This window comes from Homo sapiens, chromosome 9 (assembly GCF_000001405.40).
Source record: "Homo sapiens chromosome 9, GRCh38.p14 Primary Assembly".
Classification (NCBI taxonomy): Eukaryota; Metazoa; Chordata; class Mammalia; order Primates; family Hominidae; genus Homo; species Homo sapiens.
In genome coordinates, this window is record NC_000009.12 from 81,382,274 (window position 1) to 81,393,918 (window position 11,645).

The following is an 11,645-nucleotide window of genomic DNA, read 5'->3' on the forward strand; positions in this document are numbered from 1 at the left end:
ATTTGAGCAAATCTACAGTGAATTGTGGAAAATTAATACTGCTTCTAGAAACATTTGTGGCCCACAGTGGCAGTGGACAGAGATCTGGTAGGAACACCAACCTGGTTTCTGAGTTACTTTGGCATGGACAGGCTTATCACCCAAATGCCTGCTATTTAAGGCATGGGGCTAATTCTTACACAGAGCAAAACAGCCCACACCCCAGGGAGGCTTCTGTGCTGCTCCTATCAAAAATGCCATTGAAATGAGTGGCAGATAAGGCTGTCTCAGGAGATGAATCTTGCACACACCCTGTCTAGGAACAAGCTTTATCCAGATAACTGGGGAAATTTTGTAAAAATTGTGATTCCCTAGATCTGAGGTGGGCTCCTGGAATCTGTACTTTTTAAAGTTCTACAGTTAACTCTAATGGATAAACTTGGTGTATTAGTCCATTCTTAGGTGGCTAATAAAGACATATCCAGGACTGGGTAATTTATAAGTGAAAGATTTAATTGACTCACAGTTCAACATGGCTTTGGAGGCCTCAGGAAACTTACAATCATGGTAGAAGGGGAAGCAAACACATCCTTCTTCACAAGGGAAGTGTTGAGAGAAAGAGGGAAAGGCCCCTTATAAAACCATCAGATCTTGTGAGAACTCACTCACTATCATGAGAACAGCACGGAGGTAACTACTCCCATGATTCAATTACCTCCCACCAGTCCCTCCCACAACACATGGGGATTATGAGAACTATTATACAATTCAAGATGAGATTTGGGTACAGACATGGCCAAACCATATCACTTGGGTTGGAACTAGTAACTTACATATGATTCCTTAGGCATTCTAAGTACTTACTATGCACTGTATGTACGGACTAGCAGCATTGCTAAAAATGGAGAAAGCTCAGGCCCCACCCACACTACTGAATCAGAATCTGTGTTTGAACAAGATGTCCAAGTAATATAAGTAGACACTGAATTTCAAGAACCACTGCTGTAATTTGTTAGCACGTATATTAAATCACTTGAAGTTATCTACCTGGTATTCACTGGATTGCTACTGCCTTGATTCACAATGCAAAGAAATGCTTTCACTAAGTTATGCTATCAAATTTTAAGGGTCTCATGAAGAATATTTTTGTGTTTTAGTAAAGCCATTGTTCAAGCCATCGATATTAGGTTGTCAAATGTCTCTTGCATTAAAGGCCCACGGAGGATATTATTCTTTTAAAACTGGGAAAAAACCCACAAAAATCAATACATGTTTTTATGAGAAAATACAAATAAGCAAAATTTAAAAAGCAAATAAAAGTGAATAAAAGTGGCCTATGATTCCATCATCCTAATAAAGATACTGTTGATATTTTGTTATGGAATATACATATTTAGATATATTCTATATGTACCATGATAAACATATTCACAGAATGTAAAATAATCATTTTCAACATGGTTTTATATGCCATCATAATACTTTGCTTTATGAACACATATCACATAAGTAATAGCAGTATGCCACATTACTATACTACTGTTCAATATTTACTTTCTAGTTACATTTTTGCTGGTATAAATAACACTGCAGTAAACATCCTGAACAACAGCATTTGAATTTATATATCCCTGAAAATATTTTTTAAATATGCAATATAGAAAAAATTGACTGGCTGAGGAAATGTTATGCTAACTATTTTTCAAAGGAGAAACTCAATAGTGAATTGAGTTTTCCTTTTTTGCTTTTGTTATCAGGAAGCTTGAAATCAAATGCAATGCTTAATTACACTGATTATACTAGCCTGGATTTGTTATATACTTATATCTCCGTTGATATCTTTTTTTTGGGATTTTTAAATATTCTTTTTTTTTTTTTTTTTTTTTTTGAGACAGAGTCTCACCCAGGCTGGAGTGCAGTGGTTTGATCACAGCTCATGGTAGCCTTGACCTCCAAGGCTTAAGAGATGTTCTTACCTCAGTCTTCCCCGTAGTGAGGACTACAGGTGTGTACCACCATGCCTGGCTAATTTTTTAATTTTTTGTAGAGATGGGGTCTCCCTATATTGCCCAAGCTTGGCTCAAACTCCTGGGCTCAAGCGATCCTCCTGCCTTGAAAATATTTATCTTTAATAAGACACATCAAATATTTTAGGGCAGTAGGGTACTTATCAATTTAAATGACTATACTTAGTGCTTTCAAAAAAAAATTTCCAAAGTTGGAAGAGTTCCTTCTAACTCCTGGCCTCAAGTGATCCATCTGCCTCAGCCTCCCAAAGTGCTGGTAGTACAAGCTTGAGCCATTGCACCCAGCCAAACATATTGTTATTTCAACACCAAAAGAAATATGCCTCACTATTCTGTTCTCAGAGATTTATTTCTTTAGACCTTAAAGCATTCCTCTATAAAACACTTAAATCCGTGTTAAATGAAGGACATATTAAATTCAGATCACAAAATTACCACAAAGGGGAAAGAGGTAACTATATAAAGATGATGAAAAGGAGCTAAGAGACAGGAAAAAATGACCACAGGGAGCCTTTGCCCACATTAGAGCATCTACTTTGGCAGATTCTCATGGAGTGGGTTATACTACAATGACTTCTAAGTGAAATCAAGCGATAATTCATTATAAATATAGATTACCACACAAAGAGTGGGTTTCCACTGCAACAAGAAGTTAAATTCACTCAGATTTACATTCAAATGAGTGATGATATTAAGGGAGAAAAGGGAAAAAAAGTGAGAATTACTTTATCTATGCCCAGGATCCAAGATATGTATATGAGATACTGTCAGACAGAAATTTGTCTGCTCAGGCTCAGAATGATAAAGAGGGAGGAAACAAGGAAAAGTAGATAACCAAGCAGTTCCCATAGCAACTCCCTGCAGTTCTTAGCAGGCTTGACCTGAAGCCTTGTCTCGCCAGTAACTGAATTATGCCCAGAGGATAGAAATTGAAGCCTGTCAGGCACGGTGGCTCACCCTTGTAATCCCAGCACTTTGGGAGGCTGAGGCAGGTGGAGCATGAGGTCAGGAGTTCGAGACCAGCCTGACCAACATGGTGAAACCCCTTCTCTACTAAAAATACAAACATTAGCCAGGCGTGGTGGCACGCACCTGTAATCCCAGCCACTCACAAGGCTGAGTCAGGAGAATCGCTTGAACCAGGGAGGCAGAGTTACAGCGAGCTGAGATGGTACCACTGCACTCCAGCCTGGGCAACAGAGCAAGACCCCATCTCAAAAAAATATATGTATAGAAATTGAAGCCTGTTACCACCTTTTGTAGCATCACTGCCTTCTCCAGGTCTTCTTGCTTACAATGAGTTAATGCTAGGAAAACTTTTAACTCTTCAAGAATAGCAAAAGTAGATAACCTGAAGCCACAAAATAAACTTGAGACACACTATTTGATCTAAACATTGAGAATACTCCCCTTCCAAGCCTAAGACCTCAGGTTACTTCACAACTGGGCTGGAAGCAAGCCCATAAACAGCAAGCCACTTGTGTATAGATAGTTCTGTTCCTACTACAGAAGAAGAAGAACGTGAACTATCTCTAGATCTTCTAGTTCTTGTTTTTTTAATGTATGTGTGTTAGTTATTTTTATGCCCTTCTATACGTGTACTATTATTCAGTCTAGACCTGGATGTTTTCATCAATAAAGTGAGACTAAGTGTTTAACTGTCCCCTGTATAAGACCACGGAGAACAAAAATTTAATTAATTGTAAGTGAAAATGCTTTGAACATAATAAACAGTTATTCAGAAAAAAGTAAGTTTACTAGGCCTGTTAGTGGTAATATTACAATGACATTTATAAGGGACTAGGGTGAACATTATATTTGTGAGCTCAGCAAATTGTTCTACCCTTTCTTGTGCTAATGTAACCAGTTTGTCTTCACCTCAAAACATCACCCACGGATACAGGCACATGACCCACACCTAGCCAAATAATACCTCTTTCCCTAGCTAGGTTAAGGGAGGATCTGATAGATGACCCAACAGGGCTAGGCAGTGTCCCTCCATTGGATTGCCATATGCATGATGAGACTGCATTTACTAAATCCTGGCATTTGGAGAAATTCAGTCTGCAGACAAAGCCAAGCAAAGATAAAAATGTGAGATGGTTAGCCAGCTGGATGGATGGATGGATGGATGGACAGATAGATGGATGGATGGATGGATGAATGAATGAATGAACAAATGAATGAAGTAAGTGGCAAGAGATGGAAAGGCACCTGATGTCAAGTGCTTGGTTTCAGTTCTTGAGGCCCTGGGAACTATACTATAATTTCAGTCCTATGAGCTGCACTTATTTTCTTCCAAGGTATGTGAGTTAACAAATTCCCCTTTTAGCTTGAAATGTTTAAATTGAGTTTTGGTCACTGGCAGGCCAAAGAGTTCTAAACAATGCATTCTATGTAAATACAATGCTCCTTTTGGCACCAAGATAATGCCTTTCACACTGAAAATAGGCACCTCTCTGAGGATCAGTTTCAAGGCTTCTAGGCTTCTAAAACTCAACTCACTTGCTAATCCCACTCTCCATGCTCTGCCTAGTCTTCTCTTTGCTCCAACTTTATCAAACATTTCCCTAGTCAACAGCTAAATAGCATGGCACCAAACCTTGCAACAAAGTTTTTTCTTTGTCTCTTTATGACTTCCCCATATGAATATTTCCACCATTTCCAGAGATATCCACAAGTATATCTGTAAACACTCCTTGAAAACTCATTGAGCATCTTATCCTATAAAGTTCCTTGAGGCCTTCTGGGTTAAGAGAAGTACTAATAAAAGTCATGGCTTTCCTATGTCATTGGTTCCAATTTGACTCAAGCCAGATGCTACCTAAAACTGAAGCTATGATGACTTTTGGATGACTTTCTGTTGTGAGTGTGAAATAAGTCACGGTTTAGGGACTATGCCTAGCAGGTACACACTCATGCAACAGAAGTCAGTATTAAGCCTCTCAGCTGATAGGGAATGGGCTGAGTTCAGAAATAATTTTCTTATTATTTCCTTATATTTTCTATAAAGAAGATATGTCTAATGGAAGAAGGGATGGACAGAGAGAGGAAGGAATGCAGGGAGGGAGGCAGGGAGGGAAAGAAAGGGAGGGAAGGAGGGAGAGAGCAAGGAAGGAAGGAAGGAAGGTTGGTTCTTCATTTTGGATCCTGAAAAAAAGAAAACATCCTTATAGATATGGAACATTTTCAAGGATAATAAAAAGTCCACATTTTAAGATGGATGCTAGAAAGATTAAATTCACCAAAAATAGAAAAGCAAACATACTATATAGAATGATGTCATATAACACACCTACCTTCTATATTGAAACAAGTAATTAGTCAAGAACATGCCACAGAGAAAGAAATTCATATAGAGCTGTCACGTTTTATAACCTATGTTCTAGAAGACAATAGTTTTCCCAAGTCTAATGTGACAACACATGTCTGTTTTATACAACATCCATTTCCCAGACATGCTCCTTGGACCTAATGAAAAACAGCGTGTGCCACATGTCTGGGTTCACCACAGCAGGCTGCATCGTTGAGAAGGCTTCTTCCATTACAAGCCTGTCTTTAAAATATGGTTTCTAAGTCCTCTGGGCTAATTAAGCACAGCTGGGTGTACATCAGCCCCAGTCAAGTGTGACGATTAGGCTGGCGAGAAAAAATCAATTATCATTAATCACTAAGTCCGTATAGTGACTTCTAGAGGTGCTAAATGGGTTGAGCAGGGCGATGGTGATTCTTCTCATGGAGCGACCAAATGTTTGAAGTGAGAGAGAATGAATCTTCAAATGAATCACCTGGATGGGAACATCAGAGGCCCATGTGTTTACAGAATAAGAAACACTGATTGTAATGAGAATAAAGTGCATATAATTTTTCATGCATTGCACTATCATCTCCAATTCTGGCTCACTTTGGGGAGCAAGAAGAGATGCATATAACCATTGCTACCACTTGTTATCACCTGAATGGTGTCTCTGTTGAAGTTTGTTTAAAATCTCTCTTTTAGAGTGAATATATATTCACTTGTAAAGTGTTTTCATTGAGCAGGTTTTTTTTCCTTTTATTGGACTATTCCCTACAGCCTTATGATGCATTGAGAGTTTGTGCCTTTTCTGAGCATAGTATTTACCGAAGCACTTGCGTACGCCAATTTTGTTTCATTTATCAAGACCTCCTCTCCTTTTTAAGAAAATGGTACAAAGGTTTGAGATCTCCATGTGAAGGACAATTAACATGGACATTATATTGCTTTGTATAATGTTTCATTTTGTGTTTGTTTTCCCCATTTTTAATTTTCCTTTGCTTGGAAATATTTTGTCGTGCTCACAATAAGAATGGCTTATCAAATAAAGTGGCCCAGTCTCTCATTTCATCAGTGGACATTAGTTTAGAAGCTGTTTTTCTGGGGCCCTATGCTAGAGAATGCTAGCCAAGATGTGCCTGTTTCCCAAAAGTGAAGCAATCCCTAGTGTTCTTTCTCATCCAAAATGAGTATGGAGATTAATTTAGGCAACCACAAGCTACACATTGCCTCTCTCACACTCCAGCTGAAGACAAGTGACAGTGTAGGGAATTCATTTGCAGGCCAGTTTGAAATGCAAAAGGTACAGTAACAGGACAAGAGCCTTAAGCAGGTGAAGCAATTTTCACTTTTCCCTCCTGAAACTTCAACTTAAACATTATGTTCACTGTAACCTCACCGTGTGAATTGCCTGTCTTTGGCCTTGGGATGCTCTTTAAGGATTCTTTGCTGGAGAACCAGCCTGGGGAAAGGTAGGCTATAAACTCCACCTCCATCACCAACCTTCTGCACCTACTTATTTTCAACCACAGTGCATGATCACTCTCCTCAATAAACTTTGGAACCACTTGAAAGGAAAAACAAACAAACAAAAAACCCTACCATCTAAGGTCAAATTTCCTTCTCTTCTTTCAAAGTCAGGACATATGGAGAAAATGAAAGACATGTCCCATTACAGCTCCATTCCCTTTTATCCTCCTAGAAACAGCAAGTTTAGAGATCAGGAGCACAACGGGGAAGAGAGTTTAAAGGAACAGGCTGAGAGAGGAAGAGAAGCAGTCATGCCAAGAAGAGATAGAGAAAAGGGGGAGAGATGGAAGGCACAGGGGAGGCTAGAAGGCAGACATACAAGGGAAGACCTGGACAGAACTGTAAAGGAAGCTGAGATGGTCTGTAGTTCTCCATTCTTCTGTATATTCTTCCTGTCACTCTTAGCAAGATTCAGCTCCCAGCAATCTCCTCTTACCCACCCATTCCCATTGTCTGGAACAATGCCCTTTGCTACCAATGATCCCATCCACATCAGAACATTATACACTTCCTCATCCACTCACTAGACTGGATTGTTACGCTCTGTCTGGCCCTTCTGTGTCCCGTAGCCTCCAGCATGGCAAGGACCCAGCATGTACTTAATAGATAGTTACAGAATGAAAACATAACTAGACAATGAGGACTGGTGGATGACTACGTAGCTTTGGAATTTGAGGATTTCTTTACCTCATGACCCAAATGACTAATTTTCGTGGAAGAAATCACAGGCATTTGGCAGGCCTCAGAGTAGACATCATGGTTGCTCGGGCTTTGGGAGGATCTTCAATTTACACCAAGGCAATGACCTACTCACCAGCCCTAGAGGGAAGAGGGGAAGGCAACAAAAGCTTGACTTGCACAATAATAGGTGGTAATTCTCGGCTAGAGCTCACAAACACAAACACATGCATATGCACACACATTTACAGACACACACTCCCTCCAGTTCTCCCCTATCACAATGGACTGATGTCAGAAATTGTAAAACCATGTTACTGAAGATTTTGAATACCCTGGTATGGCTATCACCTTAAGCCCTCAATCATTTATACCATAGTGTGAATGTATGGTTCTGGACCTGTTCTCATAGAGACTAGAAAGAGAGAATGGCCAGTACTATCAATCTAACTGGGAGACCTAGATAAGAGTTTAGGACTCAGATAAGAAAAGAAAAGCGTTCAGATGCCCTTCAGGCAAGTGGACTAGGTATGTTCCTCTAGACAGAAACTTTTGGCTGGTTAAAGCAGACACTCACCCAAAATCTGTGAGGCTGATACTCACTCAATCACTTAGAATGGCTGTCTTCAATTCAGCCTTGTGAACAAGATGCCGTTGTGTTTCTGACAATATAGGTGACCCACATAAGAGGGCAGCTGTGGCAAAGAGCTGCCTCACCATCTGAACCCATGTTCTCTAGCAGCAGATTTTGCCAAAAGCTCATGTCCTGAAGCCTAGGCCTGGCACAGTTTAAGCAGACCCTGAGTGGAAGGAAGTGTAGGCAGGAAGTGAGCAAAAGTGGGAGAGAGTGATTGTGCTTCTCAGCCAGACTGATTTTCCTGAACAATACATCACTGAGATCCAAGCATTCAACAGAGGGAAAACACAGACAGAAAAAGAGCCAGACACACACACACACACACACACACACACACACACACACACACACACACACACCAGCAGCAGCAGCAGCACAAACCCAGAGAATAGGAACACCTCAGAAATCAAAATAACTGTTAAGTGAGGACAGATAGCCAGTAAAAAAAAATCCCCTGCAGCCTGAGACAGGAACACAAAGCCTTCTGGAGATGTGCCACAAATGACAAGATTCTGACCCCTCCTTGCTTGTGGAAGAGTCTATTGACCAGCATTGGAGAGAGAGGCCAGCACGGCTGGGACATCCAGTCCAGGTGCTTTTTCAGAAAAATCCACTCCCTCGGTGCCTTCTTTGGCATGAGTGCTGCAGGGAGCTGGCCCCTGAGCTAGATGCGCAGACAGTTAGACAAGTGTGGCAGAATTTTAGAACAGAGCCCTTCATATCACACTTGTCAATAAGGGGTTCATATGATAAGATAACAAAGCTAGTAGGAGACACAACCTCCCATGAGCAGAACTTACAATGGCAATACAGGAGAACCTGTTCCACCAGTCTTGAAGCCAGCCACCCACTTAGAAAAGATAAAGAGGAAGAGATAGTAGTCAGAGAGGATCAGTGAAGGATATCTTTGGAAGAAAGTTACACCCTACAGTGAATGCTCATCATAAGGGGAATCCCATTATACAACTCAGAGGCACCTTTCCAGTTGTATTCTATGCGTTCTGTGTTCTGGAGCTCCAAAGGCTGTTAGATACATAGAATGAAACATGAATGCTGCCCCTAGAAACATACAAAGCTACAGCCCGGTCCCACCACACCACTGTCCTTTAGGGAAAGGGGCAGGGAATGCTGCCCTCTCTCCATACATCTCGTAGGGAATCTGCACATGTTCACCCAGAGAGCTTTGAAATGATTTGCTACTGGGAGATGAAAAGACCTGCTGTCTGACTCATACCTGAGAAAGTCTAAGCAGAATATGGGCAGGTTTCTGACTCCAGCCCACAGAATTAAAAGGTGAGGGATGAGTTGACTATTTGGGTGGCAAAGCCAGAAGTGCATTGCAGCATGGAATCTACCTGCAGCCCCAGCACCAACTGCAGCAAGGAAGGAGAGCAGGGTGGTAGTATATCTTGTGGGCCAAAAGTAGACTATGCAGGAATGCAACCCCACATAAGACCTTTTTCAGGTTGTTCAGTGGTCACTCAATAAAGTAGCATCAGCCCAGGCTAAGGCAGCTGTAGAAGAAAAGGGCAGCAAGGAACCTCTAAAATTCTTACAACATTGCCCACTAAAGAGCCAGCTTGAACCCTCTGCAAACCAAGAGAGAAAAAGACACCAGCCAAGTAAGAACTGCCTGTCCCTTACATTTTCTTCCCCCTGCTCTAATCAGCCCCCTTCCCCAGTCAGACAGCAGCTAGCTAGTGGAAGGGAAGGTAAATGTGGAGAAAACAGCATGAAAAGCCATTAGGCTCCCATGCACCACTGAAGGCCTGGCTGGAAAAAGGGGAGACGGAAACCTGTATTGGTTTGGTACTGCTGCATAACAAATTACCACAATCTTAGCAGCTTCAGACAACATCCACTTAATATCTCACAGTTCTGCAGGACAGAAGTCCTGCATGGCTCTACTGGGTTCTCTGCTAAGAGTCTCACAAGGCTAAAATCAAGGTGTTGGCCAGCAAAGCTTTTATCTTGAGGATCTGGAAAGGAATTCACACCCAAGCTCATTTGGTTGTCGGCAGAATTCAATTCCCTGTGGCTCTAGGTCTGAGCTCTCCATTTGCTGGCTGTTGGCCAGTCACTACTTTCAGTTCTTTATGGCTCTCGGGTCCTTGCACATGGCCCCATCCATCTTCAAAGCCAACGATAGCTCATCAAATCCTTCCCAGGCTTACAATCTCTCTGACTTCTTCTGCTACCAACCAGAGAAAACGCTCTGCTTTTAAAGGGCTCATGTGATTAGATTGGCCCATCTGAATAATCTCCCTTTTGCCATTTAAAGTAACCTAATCACAAGAGGGATAGTTTATCATATTCACAGATTTCACCCTCAGTCAAAGGAAAGGCAGTTATACAAAAGTGAAGTTCACTGGTGGTCATTCTTAGAATTCTATCATTCCACAAACACTGAATAAGGTTGGAAGTTTTGATTATTCCTTAGTTTTGAACATTCAAATGACTAAATCAAGGATCTTTTTGCAAAACAAAGGAATTGTGGAACTGTGTATTAGTGGAGAATGAACGGAAAAGTCTGTGGTTCCTGTAGTTTTCATGGGGTGAAGAGAAGAGATAGAATAGGAGATGATCATCAGTGAATAAGCTTCAACAACAGTGGGAGACACAAAGAACTGAAAACAGAACTATTATTCGACTCAGCAATCCCATTACTGGGTATATACCCAAAGGAAAATAAATCGTTCTACCAAAAAGACACAAGCACTTGTATGTTCACTGAAACACTATTCATAATAGCAAAGACATGGAATCAACACCATGGAATACTACACAGCCATAAAAAAACAAGGAGGGGGCAAGGGCTGAAAAACTACCTGTTGGGTACTATGCTTAGTACCTGGGTGACAGGATCAACAATACCCCAAACCTCAGCATGACTCAATATACCCCTGTAACAAACCTGCACATGTACCCTCTGAATCCAAAATAAAAGTTGAAATTTTAAAAAAAGAAAGGATGTGGAAAGCCAAAATAAAGCTGATATTTTATTTGCATCATGGGCCATGCTTGTAAAACATACAGTTTACCCAAGGAACATAATCCTAGAGAAAGGCATGAATCAAACCAAAATAATGTATGCTAACGATGGTAATAGCAGAGTGGGTTATTAGAAGCAGAAATAAAGTGCTACAAAGACAAGATCCCAATGACTAGGATAAGAATGCCCACGAATCTCCGTGCACTGCAGGGAATCCCATGGTTACACGGAAAACATGAGAAGGGAGCCCAGAAAGCTATGCCACGAGATTAAATCCGGGTCCTAGCTCTGCCCCTAATGTCTAGTGCAAACTTGAGCAAGACCCTAGCCTCCCTAAAGGTCAGTGTCCTACCAGGAAAATATAACAAGAATGCATGGGATAGCGGGGCATACACTCCAAAGCAGTTTACAAACTGGAGGCCCAGATGCTCTATCAGACCCACAGATATGTTGTGTTTGGCCCATGCAGTGCTTTAAACTATATAATATCACTTAATACCAGCATTG

The 11,645-nt window shown here is 41.1% G+C and overlaps 1 annotated feature.

The window, feature by feature from the left end:
• Positions 7,111 to 7,684: an enhancer, noted in NCBI's record as "H3K27ac-H3K4me1 hESC enhancer chr9:84004299-84004872 (GRCh37/hg19 assembly coordinates)". NCBI's record gives its function as "activates a minimal SCP1, AML or CMV promoter by ChIP-STARR-seq in primed H9 embryonic stem cells {active_cell/tissue: H9 hESC(primed)}" and the evidence as "EXISTENCE:reporter gene assay evidence [ECO:0000049][PMID:30033119]".